The 26402-nt window shown below is 47.6% G+C and overlaps 1 protein-coding gene and 1 pseudogene across 20 annotated transcripts, besides 7 other annotated features; one reads left to right on the forward strand and one right to left on the reverse strand.

Annotated features, from left to right (window-relative positions):
* Window positions 1-25865, reverse strand: ECHDC2 (enoyl-CoA hydratase domain containing 2). 20 transcript variants are annotated; one of them, XM_047424344.1, is made up of 11 exons: window positions 25574-25831; window positions 17986-18186; window positions 15814-16112; window positions 15657-15744; window positions 11959-12045; window positions 10610-10702; window positions 9125-9181; window positions 8737-8924; window positions 3265-3315; window positions 1528-1575; window positions 1-688 (listed from the first exon to the last, which is right to left on the reverse strand). In XM_047424344.1, exons 3-11 carry the CDS (start codon window positions 15862-15864, stop codon window positions 611-613), a joined length of 741 nt encoding a protein of 246 aa, XP_047280300.1. In that variant the 5' UTR covers window positions 15865-16112; window positions 17986-18186; window positions 25574-25831; the 3' UTR covers window positions 1-610. The 20 variants fall into 20 exon arrangements, 19 of the variants coding, with proteins under 19 accessions (XP_047280300.1, XP_047280291.1, NP_001185890.1 ...); XM_047424335.1 differs by having other exon boundaries at window positions 16845-18186; NM_001198961.2 differs by lacking the exon at window positions 17986-18186 and having other exon boundaries at window positions 15814-15881; window positions 25644-25831.
* Window positions 9160-9951: an enhancer, noted in NCBI's record as "H3K27ac-H3K4me1 hESC enhancer chr1:53370741-53371532 (GRCh37/hg19 assembly coordinates)". NCBI's record gives its function as "activates a minimal SCP1, AML or CMV promoter by ChIP-STARR-seq in naive H9 embryonic stem cells {active_cell/tissue: H9 hESC(naive)}" and the evidence as "EXISTENCE:reporter gene assay evidence [ECO:0000049][PMID:30033119]".
* Window positions 10638-11137: an enhancer, noted in NCBI's record as "H3K4me1 hESC enhancer chr1:53372219-53372718 (GRCh37/hg19 assembly coordinates)". NCBI's record gives its function as "activates a minimal SCP1, AML or CMV promoter by ChIP-STARR-seq in naive H9 embryonic stem cells {active_cell/tissue: H9 hESC(naive)}" and the evidence as "EXISTENCE:reporter gene assay evidence [ECO:0000049][PMID:30033119]".
* Window positions 14148-14442: a silencer, noted in NCBI's record as "tiled region #4702; K562 Repressive DNase matched - State 5:Enh". NCBI's record gives its function as "represses a minimal TATA promoter and a strong SV40 promoter by Sharpr-MPRA in K562 cells {active_cell/tissue: K562}" and the evidence as "EXISTENCE:reporter gene assay evidence [ECO:0000049][PMID:27701403]".
* Window positions 15800-16300: an enhancer, noted in NCBI's record as "H3K4me1 hESC enhancer chr1:53377381-53377881 (GRCh37/hg19 assembly coordinates)". NCBI's record gives its function as "activates a minimal SCP1, AML or CMV promoter by ChIP-STARR-seq in primed H9 embryonic stem cells {active_cell/tissue: H9 hESC(primed)}" and the evidence as "EXISTENCE:reporter gene assay evidence [ECO:0000049][PMID:30033119]".
* Window positions 24496-26084, forward strand: LOC112268226 (translation machinery-associated protein 7-like; annotated as a pseudogene).
* Window positions 25534-26216: an enhancer, noted in NCBI's record as "H3K27ac-H3K4me1 hESC enhancer chr1:53387115-53387797 (GRCh37/hg19 assembly coordinates)". NCBI's record gives its function as "activates a minimal SCP1, AML or CMV promoter by ChIP-STARR-seq in naive H9 embryonic stem cells {active_cell/tissue: H9 hESC(naive)}" and the evidence as "EXISTENCE:reporter gene assay evidence [ECO:0000049][PMID:30033119]".
* Window positions 25551-25729: a silencer, noted in NCBI's record as "fragment chr1:53387132-53387310 (GRCh37/hg19 assembly coordinates)". NCBI's record gives its function as "represses an EF-1alpha promoter that drives an FKBP-Casp9 reporter gene in an ReSE screen in phorbol 12-myristate 13-acetate-treated (for megakaryocytic differentiation) K562 erythroleukemia cells {active_cell/tissue: K562(+PMA)}" and the evidence as "EXISTENCE:reporter gene assay evidence [ECO:0000049][PMID:32094911]".
* Window positions 25578-25807: a silencer, noted in NCBI's record as "silent region_900". NCBI's record gives its function as "represses an Ori minimal core promoter by ATAC-STARR-seq in GM12878 lymphoblastoid cells {active_cell/tissue: GM12878}" and the evidence as "EXISTENCE:reporter gene assay evidence [ECO:0000049][PMID:35858748]".

Genomic DNA, 26402 nt, shown 5'->3' on the forward strand with positions numbered 1-26402 from the left:
TTAACAATTAAAACATATTTATTGAATATGAAGTGTTTTTATTTTGCTAAATCTTCACAAGTTTTGTTTTGTAGGTGAGGAAGCTGAGGCCCAGAGCATTTAAACAATTTGTCCACGGTTATACAGCAAGTAACTGGCAGAGACTGGGATCTGCAGTCTGACCCCTGACACATGTTCAACCGATGTCAGAGTTTATTTATTACCTCTGTTGTTCACAGGAAGAAACTAGGGGTATCTTAAAATCTTCTGACATCTCTAATGAGTGCCTGATAACTGAGAGAGGTCAGGGGCTGAGAGCCAATGATACCAAGACTCAGAGAGATCTAATTTAATTCTTTATCATTCAAGTAGAGAGACAGGCATTTTCCAAAGCAAACCCAACCCTCGTGATTATTTCTAGCCAGGGTGAAGCTAAGGAAGGTAGCAGTAGGTGGTAGGATCAGCACCTTGGTTCCAGGCATCACGCCAGTCATTTTATTTCCATCATCATCCTTGTGAAGAAATGGAAGTCTGGAGAGGTGAAATGATGAAGGCAATCTGGCCACAAATCTTCCTTCTGGATCCTGCTCTTCAGGGCATGCATCTCCCATGCTGAAGGTTAAAATGGGGGTCATTTGCCAACAAATTTGGGAGTCCGCTTCTCCCTGAAGGCTGCCATGCCCTCTAGCCGGTCCCGGGTTGGAATATTCTGCAACAAGGTACAAAATATTAGTTTTGGGGGAGCAGGGCCACAGGCCCAAAAAGAGTTGCTTAAGCTTGTCCAGCCCAAGACAAGGCCAGGGTCCAAGTGTTTCCATTGTCTCTGGACTCTGATCTTGAGGCATGCAAAGGTATAAGCCTCCGTGGCTGCTTTGTCTCCTGGGGAAGACAGGCCAGCCTTTGTATTCTCTGTGCCCCATCAGCATTAGCCTCCACTTGCACACTGCTTTCATGCCTCCTGAGAACTCAGCTGCCGTCTGCAGTGGTCTGACATGAGGCTGCTCAGTAGAGAAAAAAATTCTTTGCAGTAAGAAATCTGGCTTTGAATCCAGGTTCACACTAGTTTCTCCAAGTCCCAGGACCCCTTAGGAGTATTTTGGATATCTGTTAACGTGGAGATTAGCATTTTTTACTCACCCATGAGTAAGAGATTTAATAGGTCAGTCCCAAGTGTACAGCCCCTACATTGAACACAGCCTGCAGGCTACAACCAAGCCCTTGACCTCCCAACTCCATCCTGAACTTTACAGTGGCATCTGATACAGAGGCAAAAGATGTGGTTCTTCCTCTTAAGGACCTGTGTTCTGTGATTCTCGGCATTAAGTGGGCAGGATGAACCCCAGTACATTAGATGGTTGAGGGAAAAGTCCCAGAGAGAAGCACTATGGCTCTCCTCAAGCCACTCCAGGTGACTTATGAGGGACGATGGATGCGGTCAGACTGTTTGTGTTGAGAAGAACCTTCTAAAATTGGTCATGTACCATACAAAGTCCCTCTAGCCTGGCCCAGCCTATGTTAACAAGCAGGCATGGGCTGGTTGCTACATACCTGGGCATAGCACATCCCTTCAATGGCCATCCCAGATGCAATGTCCACCTGCAAGAAAGACGTGCTCCCTGGATTGGTCTGACCTTGTCCATCTTCACCCACACTGGAAGCCAGCCCACCCTATTGCCTACAGACATCTATATGAGCAGAGATAGCTATGAGAAGGAATTTCCCTCCTAGAGAAGAAACACCATTCGTAACTATGACAAAACTGCTGGGAGAAACGAGACAGACTGAGACATTTTGCCAGAGAAGAGGAGTTCTCCTTCCCATCCGGCTGCCTCACCACGCTTCCTGTCACCCGTTAATTTCTGAACCTTTATGACCTGGGCCCTGGCAATTGCTCCAGCCTCTAGGGCCCACTGACTGGCACTTGAAAGCCTCATTCTAAGAGAAGTACCATGTGTGTGTGAACTTAATTTTCACAGCAAGGGTTAGTATCCCTATTCTACAGCTGAGAAACCTGAGGCATAGAAAGGTGAAATAATTTGTCAAAGTTCACAACAGTATGTGGAAGAGCAGGTCTTTGAACCCAGACAGCCTAGTGCCTCGAACTTGCACTCTCTCTTCTTCCCTCACTCTCATCTGGACGAGCTGCTTGCTTATCCTCCTCTGTGCCTTTGCCCATACTTTTCCTCTGGAATTTTTATCCTTCCCACAGTCCAACTGTAGAAAACAGTCTTTAACCGAGCACTGCCCAGTATGGTAGCCACTAGCCGCATGTGAATGTCAAGCACGTGAACTGTGATTAGCGTGAAGGAGAAACTGAACATTTTATTTTATTTATTTATTTATTTATTTTGAGACGGAGTCTCGCTCTGTCGCCCAGGCTGGAGTGCAGTGGTGCGATCTCGGCTCACTGCAAACTCCGCCTCCTGGGTTCAAGCGATTCGCCTGCCTCAGCCTCCTGAGTAGCTGGGACTACAGGTGCCTGCCACCACGCCTGGCTAATTTTTTGTATTTTTAGTAGAGACGGGGTTTCACTGTGTTAGCCAGGATGGTCTCGATCTCCTGACCTCGTGATCGCCCGCCTCAGCCTCCCAAAGTGCTGGGACTACAGGCATGAGCCACCGCGCCTGACCACATTTTACTTTTAATTTAAAAGCCACACATGGATATCATAATGGACCGCAAAGCTCTAACCTTTCTGGGGTGTCAGCGTGGTACCATTATCCTTGATTTGTGTCTGTATCTGCCCCCTCCCGGGGGCAGTGACCATGTTTAACTCATCCATCTGTATCCCAGTTCCCAGCTTTGTTCTGGATTCAGTGTGTGATGAGTGACTAGATGGGAGAGTTGAGGTGGACAGATGGATTAACTAGATGGGAGAGTTGAGGTGGACAGATGGATTAGCCACACCCAAGGCATCACCCCAAGCCCTGCCCTGAGGCCACATTACTGCCAGCACAAATCTTGCAGCATGGACTGGCAGCCACACAGACCCGGGTTCTTTCTACTCACTTCCTCTGAGACCTTGGGCAAATCATTTACCCTTTCTTAACCTCAATCTCATCCTCTCTCCAAGGGAGAAAGATGAGGATAGAATGTAAACAATAATACTGTCTGGCCAATTTGCAGATGTGTAAACTGACGTAGAGCACGAGGTCAGAGTTCAAGTCTGTTAGAAGAGTCCACTTCCTGAGTTTTTCCCAGCTGTGCTGTCTGAGCTCTGAAAGCACTGTGTCCCAGCCGCGACCAACTTTAGTGGACCCAAGTCCCAACCCAAAACCCTCTCACCTCCGTTCCTCGGTCAATGGCTACTTTGCCCAGCCGCACGGCAATGGGGGCCTAGGGAAAAGCAAAAAGTCTTGGTTGAGGAGGGCATCAAGGCTGATAGTTGCAGGTCTGAGGTGCACAGCTTTGTTTTAAAGGAGGGAGGCAGATGTCTGGGTCTGGTTCCAGCCATTCTGCTGACAGTTTCTTTAGCGTTAGTCCTATAACCTGTTAGCTGAGGTTCTTTTTCTATCATGAAAGAAGCCAGACTCTGATCCCTGAACACCTGGGTTTCTTGTTATTCAGCCCATCCTTCCAACATGCACAACATAACTAGTTTACAAAGTGCTTTCCTCCCCCACAGACTCATCTAATGGTGCTACCCACACTTCTAGGCTGGTGTCATCACTGATGACCCAGCTGTGATTTTACAGCTGTGAGATTGCAGTGCAGGGAGGTGAAGCACTTGGCTGTGTTTATCCAATCATTGGTGAGACTTGGATTGGACTCCCAACCACCTTTCCCACTTCCTCGACCTCATTTCAGCAAATGCCAGCCTCTGCGGTAAGGTTTTACCCCAGCAGAGTGAAACAAAGTCAGGGTTAGGAACTTGGGCTTTCAAGTCGACAGGGCTGTGTTGAAATCCTGGTCTGTGGGGCAGTGCAGAGGGGCGGGTGCATTTTAATACAGCCACATAGAAGCAACAGTGTCTGCTTTGTCACTGGCCTTGGTTCCACACCAGCCCTAGCACTCCAGTCTCAGCCCCACTTCCAGGCAAGGAGGAATTACTTCCTATATCATATTATTTGAAGTGTTTATAAAACTTTCTCAGGAAAAGTCTCAAAAAAAAAAAAAACTGGGAAAAAGAATTGCAATGCTTATGACAGATGAATTTCCTTGATTTACAAAAAAGTTAGTATAAAGTAACTTTTAAACCATTTACAAAAGAGTATGTAAAAGGTCCACCGGAAAAGAAGTACGAACGTGAAGGATGTCCAGCAGCTGCTACACGCTTGAAAGGCAAATCAAAACAGTGAGGTACTGTGCCCTTTCACCTCAGACCAGCAAATACTAAAATATCAATATGCCTACTACTGCCGAGACTGGGGAAACCAGTATTTACATACATTATTGATAGAAAAGTAAAAGAGTATGCCACAGGAGAGCAATTTGGCAAAAACTGGCAAAATGCTGGTGTGCCTTTATAAAACAAAACCAAACCTTTGTTTTGTTTTATAAACGAAGGTTTATAAATGTTTTGTTATATAAAATGAAGGTTTTGTTTTATATTCTTCCATGTTTGAATTCCTTACTATGCATATTTAAATTTTGTTTTTAAAATTTGTTAGAAACAGATTAGCCTCGAAAGATATTTCTTGTCCTCTAAGCCATTAAAAGGAATTTATTTAAATATGTAAGCATATGTGCATAATACACGTCCTTCCATATGCAATGGAAATTTCTGGAAGAGTATGGAAACAATAGTGATGATCTGGGGAGAGAGAGGGATTGGGAAATGAAGGGCTGTTTGGGTTTGCTTGTGACTGAAGGGTTACTGGGATATGGGACTTCCACTTTTAAAACTGGGGTAGTCACAGGTAAACCAGGACTAGCTGGTCATCTTGCCTTTGATTTTTACCTTATGCCCTTCTTACTCCTCTGTTCTTTTAGATTTGCTTGCCATATGTGTTATTATTTAGGTAACTACCCAATAAAGGAAGTAATCTTGGCCAGGTGCAGTGGCTCACGCCTGTAATCACAGGGCTTTGAGAGGCTGAGGCAGGAGGATTGCTTGCCCAAAGAGTTTGAGACCAGCCTGGGCATCATCATGAGATCCCATCTCTACAAAAAATAAAAAATTAGCTGGGCGTGGTGACTTGCACCTGTAGTCTCAGCTACTCAGTAGTCTTAGGTGGAAGGATCACTTGGGCCTGAGAGGTCAATGCTCCAGTGAGCTGTGATCATGCCACTGCACTCCAGCCTGGGCAAAAGAGCCAGACCCTGTCTCAAAAATAAATAAATAAATAAATAAATAAATAAATAAAGTAACCTTTTATTAAAGTTAAAAACGGTATGTACGTATGTTTGTGAGTGAAAACAGCCAAATTCTAGCCAAGTCAGTAGCTTGCACCTGTAGTCCCAGCTATTCAGAGGCTGAGGTGGAAGGACTGCTCAGGCCCAGGGCTTCAAGGCTGTGGTGAGCTATGATCGTGCCACTGCACTCCAGCCTGGGCAACAGAGCAAGATCCTGTCTCTAAAAAGAAAAGAAAAAAAACACAGCTGAATCCATTTCTCAAAGTGTAATGTGTATTTACTATTTAAGAAGGAAATCTGATGCAAACTGTGGATATTGACAGTTTTTTTCTGGGCTGAGAAAACTCTGGAACCATTTGCTACCCTATCAGAGTGGTTTGTCCACTAGATGGTGGCCATCTACACCATCCCTGGCCCTCTCCTATCCGGAAACCTTTATTCTGAGCACCCAGTAACATAGGTGGAAGTTGAAGTTTTGTTTTTCAGGTTGACCCAGAAGGTCTCAACTCTGGGATTACTCATGCCAGTACTTGTTTTTGGTAGACTGGTGTTTTGGTATACAAAGCTACTTTTAAGTACTGAAAATATCAGTAATTATATAGTACCAATATTTTAGTATATTTGGAAATCTGAATTATTTTGTGATTGTTATTTAGTTAAGGCAAAAAGACAAACCCTATAGTCTACAGGTCTAGATATGAAAGCTGCAATCAGCCACTCCATTGAGTGACCCAGAGTTCTGTATTAGTTCGGAGACTTTCTAACCAAGTATAATAGAAACTTGACAGCATTAATATTGTCTAGGCAATAGCATCAGACTCTTCATTTATATATGATGAAGCTTAAAAAAAAAAAAGACAAATGCTTTCAAAAAGCTATAGTCCCTCACCTCCAAATTAAAGAAGATCTGTTTTAAGAAGTATTAGGATTATTTACATTTGAGAGACAGGAAAGAAAGGATTTTTGTTCAAAATTATACTATTTTATTTTATTAACAGAATCTTGCTCTGTCACTTGGGCTGGAGTGCAGTGGTGCGATCTCGGCTCACTGCAACCTCCACCTCCCAGACTCAAGTGATTCTCGTGCCTCAGCCTCCTGAGTAGCTGTAATAAAAGGCATGAGCCACCATGCCCAGCTAAATTTTGTAATTTTAGTAAAGACAGGGTTTTGCCATGTTGGCCAGGCTGGTCTCAAACTCCTGGCATCAAGTGATCCTCCTGTCTTGACCTCCCAAAGTGCTGGGATTACAGCAATGAGCCACTGCACCCGGCTTCTTTTCTGTTTTAATACAAATGAGGTCTCACTATGTTGCCCAGCCTGGTCTAGAACCCCTGGTCTCAAGCAGTCTTCCCACCTCAGCCTCCCAAAGTGCTGGGATTACAGGCGTGAGCCACCATGCTAAGCCAAAATGGTTACTTTTATATGATTAATTCAATATATGTCAATATTAAAATGATGTATGGTTAACTTTGTTTTGTGACATTTGTAAATTTTTGTATTTGAAATACATTAAATATTTAGTTTGTTTTTAAAATTTTGTACATATTTTGCTCTCTTAAAATACCTTTTTTATATTGCATTCTGTATTGTGCAAAATAAATGCCAAAATACCGGTGTTGTTTTTTTTTCTAATACTACAATCACTCTTTGTGACCTTGATGAACAAGTCACTGAACTTTTATGGGTTTTCTCACAGATAAAATGGGGATAATCAGTTCAACTGGATTATTCTAAGAGCTGAGATACTACATTAAGGTACCTAGCATTATAGGCTAAGACAAATTTATTATAAATTAGTCTAACTTAGCTCCATTTAAGCCACTTTTAATCTTTATGGAAATTTGGGATCTCCTGTACCCAACCCCCTGTATCCTGGGCCCCCTGAGAGTTGGGAGAAGCCAGCAGACCCTCGCAGGGCCTTGGATACCCCAGACAGCCAGATCCCAGATATCCCTGCTGAGGGCTTTGGGCCCTGCAGCTGGTAGGGTTGTACCTGGGCAGGGCCTGACCTGCTCCCTACTGAGCATGGTACCCTTTGGGGTACCATGCTGAGAGGTTATTGTTTGAGGATTTTTAATTTTTTTCTTTCAATAGATTTTAGGGAACAGGTGGCTTTTGGTTACATGGATACGTTCTTTAGTGGTGATTTCTAAGATTTTGGTGCACCGTACCCAACGTGTAGTCTTTTATCCCTCACCCTTTCCCATGCTATTTGAGGATTTTTTTAATGAGGGGTTTTTTGGTTGTTTTTTTTGGCTTTTTGTTTTTGTTTGTTTGTTTTTAGCAACGGGATTTTGCTTTGTTGCCCAGGCTGGAAGTGCAGTGGCGTGACCAGCTTACTGCAGCTTTGAATTCATGGGTTCAAGCAATGCTTTTTCCCAAATAACTGGGATTACAGGCTCGAACTACCACATCTGGCTAAAACATGAGCCTGGCCCGTCACGGTGGTTCATGCTTGTAATTCTAACACTTTGGGAGGCTGAGGCGGGAGGATCACTTGAGCCCAGGAGTTTAAAACTGCAGTGAGCCATGATTGCACCACTGCACTCCAGCCTGGATGACACAGCGAGACCCTATCTCTTCAAAGAAAAAAATGCTTAATACATGTCCTGTATGTTGTATTTCTTTCTTTCTTTCTTTTTTTTTTTTTTTTGAGATGAAGTCTCGTCCTGTCGCCCAGTGGAGTGCAATGGCGCGATCTTGGCTCACTGCAACCTCCGCCTCCCAGGTTCAAGCGATTCTCCTGCCTCAGCCTCCTGAGTAGCTGGGATTACAGGTGCGTGCCTCCACACCCAGCTAATTTTTGTATTTTTAGTAGAGACGGGGTTTCACCATATTGGCCAGGGTGGTCTTGAACTCCTAACCTCGTGATACACCCGCCTCAGCCTCCCAAAGTGCTGGGATTACAGGCATGAGCCACCCTGCCCAGCCCACATGTTGTATTTCAAGAATATCCCACCAGGCAGTATGGTAGGAAATATGGGTTGGAAGTTCTGTATCTATTTTAGAATCTTGCTTTTTCAGTCTTTGGGGGATTTTAAGGCTGTGCTATATAGTATAGTAGCCACAAGCCACATGTGGCTATTAGCATTTGAAATGTGGCTAGTGTGAATGAGGAACTGCATTCATTTTCTGCAATTTAAATCATTTGGCTAGTGGCTCCCATACTGGATAAGCACAAGTATAGAACATTTATCTCATCTCAGAATGGTCTACTGGACAGTGTTACATTCAGAGGGCTTTCAAGCCCATTTGGTTCCAGCCCTTTGGAATTCAATTTACATTTTAATTCAGAATTAAAATTTGACTTGATTGTGTTTACTGGATGGTTAAACAAACTCCAAAGAGGGTTAATCATATGTCTCTGGGAGAATGGATGTGCAGCCCAAGGGGACACCCTGCCCCACACATGCCTCCCCCATGACTCCAGCCCTCCTTCTGGTGCCGAGCTGTCACCACACCTGGGGCAGGATCTCCTGGGCCAGTGCTCGTGCCCGCTGGTAGGCGGCGTCCCCCTCCTCGTTCTGGGCCACAGCGTGATTCACCAGCCCCAGTACGTGGGCCTCAGTTCCACTCAGTCGTCGGCCCGTGAAGATGAGCTCCTTCGCCAGGGCCACCCCCAGACAACGGGGCAGCCTCTGAGTCCCTCCTACCAGGATGGAGGGAGCAGGGTGGGAATCAGCATGGGAAGTGGGAACCCAGAGAAGGCTCAGCCTGGGACTCAGCCAAGACTTCTCAGAGGAGCAGGGTTCAGGTGGGAGGGCAGAGCCCAGAACAGAGGGCAAAAAAGGAAAGCAGCGAAGGACCCTGGATGGGGTGGAATTGGGCGGGTGCTGTAGTTGCGATTACCTGCCCCCGGGAGGAGCCCTCGCGTGGTCTCAATCAGTCCCATGACTGCCGAGGAAGCTGCTCAGATAGAACAAAGTGAGGCCTCCCTCCCCCATCCGGTCCCCCAGTGCTAATCCCGGGGGCCACAGCTGCCTCTGCTGTCTACTCGCCCCTCTAGCCACTTGCCCCATGGTCTGGCCACAGCCAGGCCTCTCCAGACTCTGCCTTTGGAAGAGCCCTAGCCCAGAAGTCAGGAGCCCAGGCCCTTATTTCACCATGCCCCTTTGATGGAGTTGTAAGTCACCAGCAAGTCTCACCCTTCCCAAGCCTCAAAGGTGGAAGAAAGATGGCTGGCCCTCTTCTGTCTGCTTCAGAGAGCCGCTAAGGATCACACGAGGTACGACGCTTGGAACAAGGAGAGTTCCTAGGAGGTGCCCCATATCTATTTGTGGATTACTATTAATAGGTTCTCTGGCTTAGCCCTGGCCTGGCCTAGAATGTCAGTGACTCCTGCTCCTGCTACAGTCGTCCGTTCCAGCTTTGTCACAGCCTGAAATTGCCCTGACTGTTCCAGTCCATGTCCTCCTGAGTTCTGCTTCCTTCCTTCGAGAAACTTGCCTTGACTGACGCACCCCCCCGGGTCTGTCTCCTTTTCTGAATTCCCTCAGCATGGACCATGTGAACGTGGGCAGAAGGGAGTGGGTTTTACATTCACTCCGTCTTAGTCTTCCCCAAAACCCTGTGAGTTAGTTGCGTGAACGTGGGCATGTGAGAAGGAGAGTTGGGGCTAGACCAGCCTGGTATTTTGGTGCCTGGACACCTGGTCAGTTCCTTCTCTTTGACCTGCATTGTGTAGACAGAAGCTACTTTCATGCCTGGAGCTACACATTTTTATATGTTGCTCCTGGGGTGGCAGGAGAGAGCGGTGGGGGGAGAAGGGAAGACATTCAGACTTTGCCTAACTGCATCCAAGAAGGCTGCTCCTAATCACCAGGTCAGTCACCTGAGAAAATGATCAGTTATCTTCTTTATCCCCTCCCATTCTTCAAACAAAGCTCAATTGCTCAGAACAAGTAATGCAAATTTGGCTGGTGCCAGTATTCCTGCCCAGGCACCTTTGTGATTAGCTCAGCCATTGACAAACTATCCCTGAGGCTCACCTTTTTCCGAAACATGGTCGATAAATCTGACTTGGACAGAATGGGAAGACTGGACATTGCTCTTTGACCTCCTTGGCTCGTAACAGCAATTGCTCTGAGGTTGGTCAAATATTCCCAAAATGAAGGAAGCAGGTTCTGACAGGTCACAGATACTACAGCAGCTAATGGCTGCACCAGGAGGGGAAGCAGCTTCTGCCTGAGCACCCTCTGTGCTCTGCCTTGCCTTAGTTTTGCTTTTGGTTGGAAGCCAAGAACAGTGGCTGACTGCAGAATGTCCAGACTCACCCTGTTTCACTCACCCCTGACTCCCTAGCCCCACCCCCTGCCCCCAGTCCTGGCCCAGTACCTGCCACTCGGAGGTCACAGGCCAGGGCAAGCTCTAGGCCTCCGCCCAAGGCAAACCCATCCATAGCCGCAATGGTGGGTGCAGGGAAGGCTGCTGTGGAGAGGAAGAAAGGCTCAGCCTGCAAAGCCCTGGTGGGACCAGGACAGAGACTCAAGGCTGGGGAGGGGCAAGCTGGTTGGGACAGAGGCCTCAGTGGACCCAGGTCTGGGGACATTACATGGAACCTCAGCCAGGTTATCTTAATTCTTTTTTTTTTTTTTTTTTGAGACGGAGTCTTGTTCTGTCACCCAGGCTGGAGTGCAGTGGCATGATCTTGGCTCACTGCAACCTCTGCCTCCCAGGTTCAAGTGATTCTCTTGCCTCAACCTCCTGAGTAGCTGGGATTACAGATGTGCGCCACCACGCCCAGCTAATTTTTTTGTATTTTTTTTTTTTTTTTTTTAAGTAGAGACGGGGGTTTCACCATGTTGGCCAGACTGGTCTTGAACTCCTGACCTCGTGATCCGCCCGCCTCAGCCTCCCAAACTGCTGGGATTACAGGAATGAGCCACTGCGCCCGGCCTCTTTTTTTTCCTTTTTTCTTTTTTTTTTTTTTTGAGATGGAGTCTCGCTGTTGTTGCCCAGGCTGGAGTGCAATGGCACAATCTCTGCTCACGACAACCTCTGCTTCCCGCAGCCAGGTTATCTCAGAAGCCAATTTTCCCTTTAGGGAAAGTTACAGAATCAGCCAGGGAAGAGGAATGGGAGGATGGGCTGGATGATCCCTGTTCAGGCCTAATCCGCTGGCCTCCCTGGGGCCTCCCTTTCTTTGTGCCAAGCCCTGTGCTGGGTGCTGGGAACTGGGAACACAGAATGAATCAGACATAGCCTTTGTTCCCATGGGGCTCAGTCTCATGGGGAAGACAAATGTGTATCAGGCATTATTGACCCAGGATCATCAGTGCTCCAATAAAAAGCTCAGAGGGTGGGTTGGGAAGGCTTCCTGGAGGAGGAGGTACTGGAGGGCTTGAAGGACAAGTAAAAGTTCAAGTAACCAAGAAGGGGTATCTCAGGCAAAGGTAACAGCAATTGTCAAAACTTGAAAGCATGCTTGGGGAAACTTAACTGCTTTGGAATGGCCAGGCTTGAACCCTGAGGGTGGGGCGGGACACAAAAGCTGAAGAGCCAGAACTCCCTCTCTGAGAGAACTGCCCTCGGTCATCCTCCTCCATCCCCCTGGGTGAGTCATCTGTCTTATCACAGAACTCCAAACAGAAAGAAGACTCTCCTTAGATGCTGGTGGGGGTAGCGGGACTGTCATCGGCAGGGACCCCCAAACCCCCTCCTCCACCCCACACCCAGATCCTCACCGATGTCATTCATCAGGCCCCGGAGTCGCTGGACAAACACCCCCACCTCTGCTTCACTCATCTGTTCCCGCTCCTTCAGGTCTGCACCTGCAGATGGCGAGGGTTGGTACCAGCCCTTAGGAAAATGGCACTTTACGGAATCCCAGGCGGTTAAAGGATCCAGCAAAGAAGACCTGAGGACAGGCAGCCAGCGAGGAAGGAGAAACACCAGGAACCCGGGCAAGGAAGTCAAGGGAAAAGAGGAGCATCAAACAAGGAGGGTGTGACACTGCAGAAAGGTGAACTGGACTCCATCAAAATGGAAACCTTCTGTGCATCAGAGGACACTATCAATAGAATACAAAGACAACCCACAGAAATGGCTGGGTGCAGTGGCTCACGCTTGCAATCTCAGCATTTTGGGAGGCCGAGGCAGGTGCATCACCTGAGGTCAGTAGTTCAAGACCAACATGGTGAAACCCTGTCTCCACTAAAAATACAAAAATCAGCCAGGTGTGGTGGCGGACACCTATAATCCCAGCTACTCAGGTGGCGGAGGCAGGAGAATCACCTGAACCCAGGAGGTGAAGGCTGCAGTGAGCTGAGATCGCACCAACTGCACTCCAGCCTCGGTGACGAGCAAGACTCCGTTTCAAAGAAGAAAAAAGAAAAAAAAGAAAAGACAACACACAGAATGGAAGAAAATATGTGTAAATCATATATCTGATAAAGGTTTAATATCTAGGATATATAAAGAACTTCTCCAACTAAACAACAAAACAACCCAATTCAGAAATGGGCAAAGGGCCAGGCGCAGTGGCTCACACCTGTAATCCCAGCACTTTGGGAGGCCGAGGTGGGCACATCACCTGAGGTCACGAGTTCAAGACCAGCCTGGCCAACGTGGTGAAACAGTGTCTCTACTAAAAATACAAGAATTAGCCAGGTGTGTTGGTGGGCACCTGTAATCCCAGCTACTAGGGAGGTTGAGGCTGAGGCAGGAGAATCGCGTGAGCCCAGGAGGCAGAGGTTACAGTGAGCCAAGATTGTGCCACTGCGCTCCATCCTGGGTGACAGAGTCTCAAAAAAAAAAAAAAAAAAAAAAAAAGGAAAAAGGACTTGAATAGACATTTCTCCTGAGGAGATACACAGATGGTCAATAAGCACTTGAAAAGTTGCTCAATCTCATCGTCATTAGACAAATGCAAATCAAAAACCACAATGAGATACTACCTCACGTCTATTAGAATGGCTTTTAAAACAAACAAAACAAAAAGTTGGCATGGATGTGGAGACATGGAACCCTGGTGCATTGCTGGTGGGAGTGTAAACCCATGCAGCTGCTGTGGAAACCAGTTCCAAAAAGTTAAACAGAATTACCATACAATTCTAGTCCCAAGTATATACCCAAAAGAGTTGAAAGCAAGGACTCAAACAGATACAGTCCCTCCTTATCCGTAGGGGACTGGTTCCAGGACCCCTCAGATACAAAAATCCATGGATGCTCAAGCCCCTTGTATAAAATATTGTAGTATTTGCAATATGACCTATGCTCATATATCCTCCTGTATACTCTAAGCCAGGGGTTCCAATCTTTTGGCTTTCCTGGGCCACACTGGAAGAATCGTCTTGGGCTACACATAAAATACACTAACACCAACGGTAACTGATGAGCTTAAAAAAAAAAAAAAAAACACCACACAAAAAAATCTTATAATGTCTTAAGAAAGTTTACAAATTTGTGTTGGGCCACATTCAAAGCCATCCTGGGCCACATGCGGCCCAGAGGCCGAGGGTTGGACAATGGACAAGCTTGCTCTAAATTGTCTCTAGATTACTTACAATACCTAATACAATGTAAATACTATGTAAACTGTTGTACTGTGTTGTTTTTATCTATATTATTTTTTGTTGTTGCATTGTTATTTTTGTTGTTAACATTTTCAATCTGCGGTTGGTTGAGTCTGTGGGTGCGGAACCTGCAGATGCAGAGGGCTGACGGTACTTGTACACCAATGTATTTGGGGACATTCTTCACAGTGGCCAAAAGTGAAAACAACCCAAGTATCTATCAACAGATGATTGGGTAAACAAAATGTGGTATATATACAATAGAATGCTACTCATTACAATAGAATGTTACTCCATAAAAAGGAATGGAGTTCTGACACTTGCCACAACTTGGAGGAACCTTGAGGACATGTTAAGTAAAATAAGCCAGGCACCAAAAAACAAATATGATATGATTCTACTGGTATGAGGTATTTAGAATAGATAAATACATAGAGACAAAGTACCATAGAGGTTACCCAGGCTGGAGGGGAAGGGGGAATGGGAGTCACTGTCTGAACAGGCTGAGTTTGTTTGGTATGATAAAGAAGTTCTGGGAATGGATAGCGGTGACATTGCACAATATTGTGAATGTACTTAATGCCACTCTGAATTGTACACTTAAAAATGGTTAAAACGGTAAATTTTGTGTTACTTATATTTCACCACAATTTCGTTTTTTTTTTTTTTTTTTTTTTTTTTTTTTTTTTGAGATGGAGTTGTGCTCTGTCACCCAGGCTGGAGTGCAGTGGCGTGATCTCAGCTCACTGTAACCTCCACCTCCCGGGTTCAAGCAATTCTCCTGTCTCAGCCTCCTGAGTAGCTGGGATTACAGGCACTGGCCACAATGCCTGGCTAATTTTTGTATTTTTAGTAGAGACGCGGTTTCACCATATTGGTCAGGATGGTCTCGAACTCCTGACCTCAGGTGATCCACACACCTCGGCCTCCCAAAGTGCTGGGATTACAGGCGTGAGCCACTGCACCCAGCCCACAATTTCTAAAATATGTAAGTAATAAGAAAATTAAAACTTGACTAATTTTTACAGGCAGAGTCAGCAAGGTCCAAGAAGGCTGAGAGGTCAAAGGTCAAGTAAACGAGAACGGAAGTGAGCACAAGATACGGTGGCATGCAGGTGGGCAAGCGCCTTGGCGGGAAGAGTGACCGTGGTGGGGTCCTCAAAGGCCAGATGCAGGGGTGAGCAGGAGTAGAGAGTAAATAGACTCTTCCAGTCCTAGACTACAGGAAGTCAGAGCTGGGAGAGCCTTTGGAAATCTTTGATCAGTTCCAGCCCTTCTGTGAGAGATGCGGAAACTGAAGCTCCGAGAGGGGCAGGAACTAGCCCAGGAATTCTAGAGCTGCAATCTCAGCTCACTGCAACCTCCGCCTCCCGGGTTCAAGCAATTCTCCTGCCTCAGCCTCCTGAGTAGCTGGGACTACAGGTGCCTGCCACCATACCCAGCTAATTTTTGTATTTTTTAGTAGAGAAGGGGTTTCACCATGTTGGCCAGGCTGGTCTCGAACTCGGGCCTCAAGTGATCTACCCGCCCCAGCCTCCCAAAGTGCTGGAATTACAGATGTGAGCCACTGTACCCGTCTTGGACTCCATTTTCTTATTTCCCCCGTGAAGGGTCAGAACAAAGCATGGCATAGCCGAAATAACTAAGATCTAAGGGTTAGAGAGGCCAAGTTCAAACTAAAGTCTATCCTACCCCTTACTAGCTATGTGATCCTAGGCAAGGGAATTTTCCTCCCTGAGTCTCTGCATTCACATCGGTAAAATGGCAACAATGAGTCCCATGCTGAAGCTGATCTAAGGTTTCCCCCAACCCCTGGAGGCTGGTGGGCACCCTGCAGAGCACAGATGGGGGCAGGAGAGAGAACCTACCTGCACAGAACACGCCCTTCACTCCACTTCTGAAGAGCAGGACACGCACTTGCCGGTCCTCCCGCAGCTGGGCCAGAGTTTCCAGCAGCTACAGAGGACACCCAGTTAGATAGTGCCAGCCCATCCCCAGCCCACCCTGGCGCCCGCCCTTTCTTACCTCACTGACGAAGACATTCCCCAAGGCATTGCGGGCAGAAGGTCTGTTCATCAGAATCTCAGTGATCCCTGTAAGGAGTCAGGGCAGCCACGGGAAAGCAGCTGGCTCTGCCTAATCCTGGGCTGCGGGCTGGGGACTGGAGGCAGGAGGCCTGGGATCTGGGGAGCCTCTGCCCTAGATGACCAGAGTGACTTGCCACAAGTCACACACTCAGGCAGGCCTCAATTTTCCCAACCATAAAATGGAGAGAAAAACCCTTGCTCTTTCTGCCTCAGAGAGAAAGTGGAAGGACTTGTAAACTGTGAAGCAAAATGGGGAGAGGAACAACAGTGACTACCACAGTAGCCCTTGCCTGCTTCTGCTGTTGTTAGACAGACAGACACACACACACACAAGCACACATGCACCCATGTACCTTCTTTAATTTTACAACTCCCTCCATATTCATCTTTTTTTTTTTTATTTTTGGCGGGGGAGAGTTTTGCTGTTTTTTTTTTTTTTTTAGACAGGGTCTCAACTCTGTCACCCAGGCTGGTGTACAGTGGTGTAAACATGGCTCACTGTAGCCTCAACCTCCTGGGCTCAAGCAATTCTCCTCCCTCAACCCCCAAAATAGCTGGGACTATAAGCATGCGCCATTACACCTGGCTAATTTTTGTGCTTTTTGTAGGAACGAGGTTTTGCCATCTTGCCCAGCCTGGTCTCAAACTCCTGAGCTCGAGCAATCTGCCCGCCTCGGCCTCCCAAAGTGCTGGGATTACAGGTTTGAGCCACCGCGGCCTTAATCTTTTCTTCACAGCAGACTTCTTCCTCTAGAGTTTGAGGAGTTATGATAAGGCAAATACCCTTATAACCACCACCCAAATCAAGAAATAGAACTGTGCCGGCCACCTCAGAAACCCCACCACATGCCCTGACTCAATCGTAGCTCCCTCCTTCCCCCTGAACAAGTAACTCTTTGACTTATAGTAATCACCTCTGTGTATTTCTTTATAATTTTTTTTTTTGAGACAGAGTTTCACTCTTGTTACCTTGGCTCACCACAACCTCCGCCTCCCAGGTTCAAGCGATTCTCCTGCCTCAGCCTCCGGAGTAGCTGGGATTACAGCATGTGCCACCACGCCCGGCTAATTTTGTATTTTTAGTAGAGATGAGGTTTCTCCATGTTGGTCAGGCTTGTCTCGAACTCCTGACCTCAGGTGATCCACCCACCTCGGCCTCTAAAAGTGCTGGGATTACAGGTGTGAGCCACCACACCCGGCCATTTCTTTATAATTTTATCACCCAGGTGTGCATCCTTAGGTATCATAGTTTAGACTTGCTAATTTCTAAAATTGCCGTGTATCTTTTAAATCCTGGTACAACCCCCACATGCTCCCCACAACTCTGTCTTTCCCTCAGAGATTATCTGTGGAGGAGCCTGGGGTATTTGACCTACAGGGTTTCTCAAAGCCTGGGTTTTGCTAACTGCACAATCACGGGGACAGATCAATATGCTCCTCTGTCACAATAAATTAGCAACTAAATACAGAGGCTTAGTGTTCTGTCCTGTTTGGCAAGACAGTAATCCTGGCCCTACTTGTGTAATATTCTTTCACCAGCAACAGCCAAGCTTCTTGGTAGTTTTCTATACTCATTTAGTCACTTTCTTACCTTCCATTCGCTCAAACCTTCTCCAATCTAGGTTCCAGCCCCATCACTCAGCAGACATTATTCTCATTAAAGTGATGAATATAGCCACATCACTAACCAAGGGACACGTTTCTCTCCTTGCCTCAACCTCGTGGCAGCAAAAACCTTTGCTGACATTAACACACTCCACTTGATCGTTTTCTGCTTTGGCTTCTTAGAAGAATATTTATTTGTTTATAAATAGATGATTTTCTTAGAGCAGTTTTAGGGTCACAGCAAAATGGAGTGGAAAATACAATTCAATACAGTTCACCTATACTCCCTGGCCCTACACAGGCACAGCCCCTTCCGCAATCCCCATCCCCCACCAGAGGCACGTGTTGCAACTGACGAACCTACACTGATGCACTGTCGCCACCCGGGGGCCCTAGTGTACACTGGGGTTCGCTCTTGGTGGTGTACACTCTGTGGGTTTACACAGATGCATAATGACACGTATCTGCCTTGGCTTTGGCAGGCCCCCATTCTCCTTCCTCCTACCTTTCAGGTGATGCCTCTGCACTCCTTCACTGCTTCTCTTCTGCCCAATTATTTTAAGTGCGTAAGTTCCTTAAGGCCAATCAGATTCTCTTCATTCACTCATTTGTACATTTATATATTTGCTGTGTGCTGGCCTCTACTAGACACCGTGATTCCAGAGACCAGGACAGACTCAAGGCCTGTCCTCATGGAACCTACAGCCTAGTGGGGAAGACAGACATTAAATAATTACTATTTGTGAGGAGAACTTGGAGAAAAAGGACAAACAAGTAAGGGGCCTCCAGTGGGCAGAGGGGAGCCCTAGTATAGAAGGTCAGCAATGAGTTATCAGAGGAGGCAGTGGCCTTTAAGCTGAGAGCTGACAGGAGAGTAGGAATTGGCCAGGCAAAAGATGTAAGAGTGCATGTGTGCATGTAAGTGTGCATGCATGGGTGCATATGTGAGCGTGTGCATGAGTGCCTGTGTGTGTGCATGCATGTTGGCAAGGTGCAGGGAAGGGGGCAGTCCAGGAGAGAAGCCTGTTGCAGGCAGAGGGAGTGGCAGAGAAGAGGGCCCAGGTGTGGGACTGCAGGGTGCCTTCCAGAACTGGAGGAGTTCAGGCAGAGGGAGAGCAGGATAAGCTGAGGCAGGAGGGACCTCCCTTCCACAGCTAACACACGCCTGCCTCCTGTACACCCAGGGCTCCCGTGTGTGCCCAGGAGCCCAGAGCTCTCCTGTGCACCCCAGGCCTGAATAGCCAAATGCCTACTTGATATCTCAACTGGTATGTCCTGCTCCATTGATGAGCCAATGACCTTGCTATCAACTCAGAAGTTGATCCTGTCACCTCGCTCTTACCTCACCTACAAAATGCACTCAGTCACTAAGGCCTGCTAATCCAACCTCTTAAAGAGATCTCAGGCCTCTCAGCTCACACCGCTTCTCACAGCCATTAATCTGGCATAGGCTCTTTCCTGCATCCCTCGGATCACCCACCTGGCCCTCGAGTCCTCAGTCTTGCTCCCTCCCAGCACACACACATTCGTTCCCACATTTGGGTCACAGTCATCTTTCTTACCCCAATCCGACCACGTCCCTCCCCTTCCCCCTTCTTTTCCTCAAAATAAAGTTCAACTCCTTAATACCGACCATAAGGCCCCCCCAATCTGACTCTTGCACCCACTCTGGCCCCAATTCACCCCCGCCATCTAGTCAGGGTGTGGGGAAGAGAGATGGGCTCTGGGAAGGAGCTCACACCCTTATCATCCCTTCTAGGCTGTTTCTCCTCCTACGAAAAATCAGGATGGACATTTCAGGTCTTCCCAGGGCTGAAATCCAGCAGGTGCCCAGAGGAGTGTTTCCCAATCCTTTGGCCTTCAAAGACCCCTTATTATTATCTCCCAGGGTCCTCAGCTTTGTCTGTAAACAAGCAGTGTTTATGAAGTTGGCATTCTCAGTTTAAGCTGATCAGAGACACAGAAAGGCCAATGAAAGTTTCTGGGCTCTCAAGGGACAGGGTGTTCAGCCAGGAATTACAGAACTATGGCTAGGGGCAAAGAACTGTAACATTCAGGCAAACTGGACTTCCTTAGCCTCCCCAGAAACCTGCAAAGAGCTCTTAGAGCCCAGCAGGTCTGGAGGCTCCAGAGAGGTGTGCAGATGGCCATAAGGTCGCTTCCAGCTCCAGTGCTCCAGGAGAGAAAATGGGGCAACTCTGGAGAAGGGAGACTGCAGTGGATAGAGAGATGCCAGATCAGGAGGAGTCAAGGACCCTGACCCCCACAAACTTCAGAGCAGTCTAGATCCAAGGTCCCCAGAGTGGCCCTCATGTTTACATCCTGAATAATCCCCTCCCTTGCATGTGGGTGGGACCTGTGAATTGCTTCTAAGCAATAGTATACAGCAAAGGTTATACAATGTTACTCCTGAGATTAGGTTAAGTTATATGGTGAAGGTAATGTGACTTCTGTAATTCGGTTATAGTATATAAAAGGCTCTGTCTTATTAGAGACACTCATGGGCCTAACGAGAGGGTCAAGTAGCAAAGGACTGCGGGCAACCTCTAATTGCTGAGAGTGACCCCCGGCCAACAATCAGCAAGAGAACAGGACTTCAGTCCAACAACCATAGGAGGTGAATTCAGGTCTCAGCAACCTGACGACCTTGGAAGCAGATCTTTCCCGTCAAGCCTGGGATGAGACCACAGCCCTGGCCAACTCCCGACTGCAGCCCAGCCTGGCAAGACCTGAAGCAGAGAACTCTGCTAAGTTGTGCCTTGACTTCTGACGTACAGAAACTAAAAAATGATAAATGTGTGTGACTTTGAGTATCAAAGTTTGTGATCATTTGTTAGGTAGTAATAGAAAGCTGATATAGCCGTGGTATCCTGGGACTGGCAGACACTCCTCTCTCTGCTTTCCTGTTCTTTCCTTCCATTCTCTCTGGCTGACTGTCTCTCATCTTTCAGCTTCATCTCCTGTCTCCACCTACATCTCCCTCTCGGAATACTGACTGTCAACTCTTACAAGCCCTTAGCTCAAGCCACAACTCAGCCACACACCAGCCCCATGGCCTTGGGCAAACCACTTTACCCTTCTGGCCTTCAATTTCCTGATCTGTAAGAGAAATAATAAAAAGGTTATTGTTAGGATTAAAAGAGATAATGCATTTAAGTGTCTAACCAGAGTTTGTGTAAAACGCCCAGATACTAGGGCAAGTCTCGGACCTAATACAGTATCTGAACTTTAAGCTGGGAGCCCCCCAGGAGCCAGGCAGGGTGTCTTTGGCTGCCGACATTCAATTGTGCAACATTTAATTTGCACTACCACATGCCAGGTCCTGGAGAAATGGACAGTAATCAGCCAAGGTCCCTGTGTTCTTAGTCTAGCCCCGATGCTGGGAACATTGCCCTTCTGACCCCAACAGCGGGGATGGGGCTGTGCTGCACCCTTCCCACTCTTACCAAACCTACCATACCACTGAGCAGCTGACCTAGGATCACTTCTGTCCAGATGGCTTGGGTCACAGGCGAGGTGTTGTGGGTAGAAGTCAACAGAAACCACTAGAAGGGCCAGGCGTGGTGGCTCACGCCTGTAATCCCAGCACTTTGGGAGGCCGAGGCGGGTGGATCACCTGAGTCAGGAGTTCAACACCAGCCTGACCAACATGGTGAAACCCCGTCTTTACTAAAAAGACAAAAATTAGCCAGGCGTGGTGGCACACACCTATAATCCCAGCTACTTGGGAGGCTGGGGCAAAGAATCGCTTGAAACCAAGAGGCAGAGGCTGCAGTGGGCCGAGATCACGCCACTGCACTCCGGCCTGGGCAACAGAGTGAGACCATCTCAAAGAAAAAAAAAAAAAAAGAAACCACTGAAGGGTAGTGTGGAGAACAACTGATTTAACAACACTTTACTATACAGAAGAGGAAACTGACGCCCGGAAACAAGGAGGATTTGCTCAAATAACAGCTGGACCCAGCTGGCAATCCTGACTCTTAAAGAGCTAACAGCCTAGAAGAGAGACAAGTTCAGACACACGAAACATAAAAGGACAGTGTGGGGGACGGAGCAGCAGAGCAGGGGAGTTCCAAAAAGATTTCCATAAGCAGAAAGGAAGGAAGAGGAGCCAAGTCAGGGCACAGCTAGAGCAAAACACAGAGGTAACACACCTTCAAATGAGCCCATGGGTAGAGGAGGGAGGATGGAAAGGTCAGCTTGTGGTGGAGAACCTTAGTGCCCAGCTAAGGAGTTGAAGGACAGCCATTAATTACAGTCATGCACAGCATGATGATGTTTTAGTTGGTCAGCTACAGACCACATATAAGACATATAAGTCCCATCAGACTCTAATGGAGCTGAAAAATTCCTATTGCCTAGTGACACCATAGCTGTCATAACATCATAGCGCAATGCAACACTCAAATGCTGGTGGTGAGGCTGGTGTAAACTAGCTTGCTTTACCAGTTATACAAAAGCACAGCACATACAATTAGGCCCACAACATAATACTTGATAATGATAATAAAAGACTATGTTTTAGGTTTATATATTTACAATATTATTTTTACCATTATTTTAGAATATACTCCTACTTTTTATTTTTAATTTTTTTGAGACAGGGTCTTACTCTGTTGCCCAGGCTGGAGTACAGTAACACGATCATGGCTCACTCATGGGTTAAACACCTTTGGGCTCACTTGCAAATATCAGGAATCCTTGATATTGGACAGCCTTGACCTCCCCGGCTCAAGCCATCCTCCCACCTCAGCCTCCTGAGTAGCAGGGGCTACAGGTATGCACAACCATGCCTGGATAATTTTTGTATTTTTTTGTAGAGAAGGGGTTTCACTATGTTTCCCAGGCTGGTCTCAAACTCCTGGGCTCAAGCAATCTGCCTGCCTCACCCTCTCAACGTGCTGGGATTACAAGAGTGAGCCAGGTGAGCCACTGTACCTGGCCTGGGCCGTGTGTACTCCTACTTATTAAAAAAAAAAAAAAAAAGAAAAGAAAAAAGTTCAGTGTAACACAGCCTCAGGCAGGTCCTTCAGTAGGTATTCCCGATTGTTATCATAGGAGATGGCAGCTCCATGCACGTTATCGCCCCTGAAGACCTTCCAGTGGGACAAGATGTGGAGGTGGAAGACAGTGATAGGTCTAGGCTCGTGTGTGTGCTTGTGTCTTTGTTTTTAACAAAAAAAGTTTAAGAATTAAAATTTTTAAAAGCTTATAAAATAAGGATCTAAAGAAGAAAACATTTTTTGTACAGCCGTACAATGTGTTTGTGTTTTAAGCTGAGTGTTACTACAAAAGAGTCAAAAGTTGAAAAAATTAAAAAGTTTATAAAGTAAAAACAGAGTAAGCTAAGGTTAATTTATCATTGAAGAAAGAAACATTTGTAAAGCAAATTTAGTGTAGCCTAGGTGTACAGTGTTATAGAGTCTATAGTAGTGTACAGTAATGTCCTAGGCCAGGGGTCCCCAACCCCCGGGCTGTGGACCCATCCCAGTCTGTGGCCTGCTAGGAACTGGGCCACACAACAGGAGATGAGCAGCTTCATCTGTATTTACAGCAGCTCCCCATGGCTTGAATTACCACCTGAGTTCCACCTCCTATCAGATCAGTGGTGGCATTAGAATCTCATAGGAGTGCGAACCCTATTGTGAACTGTGCATGTGAGGAATCTAGGTTGTTGCGAGCTCCTTATGAGAATCTAATGCCTGATGATCTGAGGTGGAACAGTTTCATCCCCAAACCATCTGTCCGCCCGCAAGTCCATGGAAAAACTGTCTTTCATGAAAATAGTCCCTGGTGCCAAACCAGTCCCTGCTGTCCTAGGCCTTCACATTCACTCACCATTCACTCGCTGACTCACCCAGTGCAGCTTCCAGTCCTGCAAGCTCCATTTATGGTAACTGCCCAGTACAGGTGTACTATTTAAAAAATCTTTTAGACTGTATTTTTACTGTGCCTTTTCTATGTTCAGATACACATTTACCATTGTGTTACAGTTGCCTACAGTATTCAGCCCGGTACCATGCTGTCCAGGTTTGTATTCTAGGAGCAACAGGCTATACACCATGTAGCCTTGGTGTGCAGTAGGCTACCCCATCTAGGACTGTGTAGGTGCACTCTGTGATGCTCCCACAATGACCACAATCACCTAATGATGCATTTCTCAGAATGTAGCCCCGTTGTTAAGCAACACATGACTCTATGAGAAATAAAGCCGCTAAGAACAGTGAAGAATGGTTTACCACCCAACCTCAAGCTCAAAGGCAGCAGGTAAAATGTAACAGTGCTCTTGTGCCATCAGCCCCAGTGGAAGGCAGAACCTGCAGCTTCTAATATGAACATCAAATGACCCCAACTCATTCCCTGTGAGGGCTCCGTGTGTGATCTCATCCCCATGCCTCCTCTGCACTGTCATCTTGGTTTCTGTCTCTCCTTCTCTCACTGCCTTTTCCTGCCCTTTGAGCCCTCTGGCAGGGGCAGAGGCTTAATCTGCTGATCCTTGTCATTCTTTTTTGGATAAAATGATTCCCGATATTTGCAAGTGAGCCTAAAGGTCTTTAACCCATGATAATTTTGTGTTTACACATGTACAAGTCTGTATTTTGAGTCACTGAATTACTAGAAGAGCCAGTGATTACCTAATGGTTGAGAACACAGGCTTTGAAATCAGACCTGGTTCAAATAACTTAACCTTCTGTGCCTCAGTTTTTTAATCTGTAAAGTGGGGAGAATAATCTTGACTGTCTTAAGAGCTGTTGCCAGTTGGGTAGTGAACTAAGCATGAGATTGGGGGTATAAGGTTCAGCAATATTAACTGTTCAAGGAAATTCTCACCAAGTGGTGCAGTGGGACTCTAGGTGGCCTGTCCGTGTCCACTGAAGGTGGTAGATGCACACTTGGGAACAGTGGGCAACAGCAGGGAGCAAGGAACTGGATTTTATGGCAAAGCCCCGCTTCAAACTTGTTGTCAAGCCGGTAAAAAGGAAGCAATACTGCTGGGGAAGGGGCGGCAGGCGCCATGTCCGGCCACGAAGGTGGCAAGAAGCCACTGAAACAGCCCAAGAATGCAGGCCAAGGAGATGGACGAGGAAGATAAGGCTTTCAAGCAGAAACAAAAAGAGGAGCAGAAGAAACTCGAGGAGCTAAAATGGAAGGCCACGGGGAAGGGGCCCTTGGCCACAAGTGGAATTAAGAAATCTGGCAAAAAGTAAGCTGTTCCCTGTGCCTAAGGAGATGGTGACCCTTTATTTCATCAGTATTTAAACCTCTCTATTCCCTGCCATAACATCTTTTGCCACCTATGGCTGGAATTAAGTGTTGTCTTGGAGCTGTTGTACATTTAAGAATAAACTTTTGTTAAAAAAAAAAAAGAAGCAATACAACGAAATGTACAGTACAATGCCATCTGTGTATCAAATGCAGGAGACAGGGGATGAGATGCGGGGAGGAGACCCAAGGCAGGAGAAGCGCCTAGCCCTGATGGTTACCAGCAGAGGACTGAGGAGCGTTATCAGCACCACTGAATGCTCCAGAAGTTCAAACAACAACAACAACAAAAACGCAACACGCGATCAGAGGCGTTTTCTGCCAGTGACCCGCGAACTTTGCCCCCCACCCCTCGTCCCCGCTCCATACTATCCTTGATCTTGGCCAAAAGGCGGAGAAACAGCGAACTTTTCCCTGGAGCCAGAAGGACGCAAAGGTTCGCTAGCGGCCCAGGGCGGGCGCGCGGCTGGAGAGGCACCCTCCTCACTCTGCCCGCTGCCGCACTGGGCACTGGGACTGGCTCCGCTGCCTCCGCCCCCGAACCGGGCCAGGACCCTTGGCGGGGGAGGGGAACGCGCACTTAAACGCTCCTGGCCTGGGGGCCGCGGGGCCCAGTCCTACCCGTGCGGACCCCGCTCCCCCTTCCACACAGTCGGAAGACCCCAAAGGGCCTTTGAAGAGACCGAGGTTGCCAGAGGCCCCCCGCCCCCAGCTAGAGTCTGGAGCCACTAAGGCGGCCGCCCACCTCTCAGGCCTGGAGCGGTTTGGGGCGCCTAGAACTGGGAGGGAGGGACTGGGGATCGAATCCTTCAACGCACTGAGCGGCCCACCTGCCGGTCCCCCGCTGCCTCCGGCCTAGTCCCAGTCGCGTCATGCGCCGCCCCGGAACTGCACATTTACCTTGGTCCGGACCCGCCAGGGCGCGCACTTGGATCTCTGAGCCCCCGGCCGCCCCGTCGGAAGCGCAGCCGCGGGCCCGAAGGGGCCTCCAGGGGCGCAGGAGGCACAGAACGCGCAGCATCGGGGCGCAGGCTGGGAGTGAAGGTGCTTCTCCGGCCCTGCACCGTCTCGGCTCCCGCTGAGAGCTCGCAGTTCCGGCGTCGGGCGAAGCCTTCGCCAATTGCTCCACCTATGGGCCAAGCGTCTGTTGCCTCCTTCCGCACCTCCCGGGGACAGGGAGACTTGAGCGGAGGAGGTCGGGGGAAGCCCAGCTCCTCTGTGTGATTTGGTGTAACTCTGTCAACCTCCCAGCGTCAGTGTTTTAATCCTGTAAAATGGGGATAATAGTGACTACCCCGTGGTGGTGTGAAGATTAAATGGGGTGTGTGAACCTTGCTTGCACATATGCTCAATTTCATTTTTTAAATGAAATGACATTTAATGAGTCCCTTGAGCGTGTCTACACTTGCGAACCTCACTGCTTCACCTCCCATTTGCGCCTCACTTTTTTTTTTTTTTTTTTTTTTTGAGACGGAGTCTCGCTGTGTCGCCCAGGTTGGAGTGCTGTGCCTTGATCTTGGCTCACTGTAACCTCCGCCTCCGGGTTCAAGCGATTCTCCTGCCTCAACCTCCCAAGTAGCTGGGATTACAGGGACGCGCCACCACGCCCAACTAATTTTTTTTGTATTTTTAGTAGAGGCAGGGTTTCACCATGACGAA

Source organism: Homo sapiens, chromosome 1, assembly GCF_000001405.40.
Source record: "Homo sapiens chromosome 1, GRCh38.p14 Primary Assembly".
NCBI lineage: Eukaryota > Metazoa > Chordata > Mammalia > Primates > Hominidae > Homo > Homo sapiens.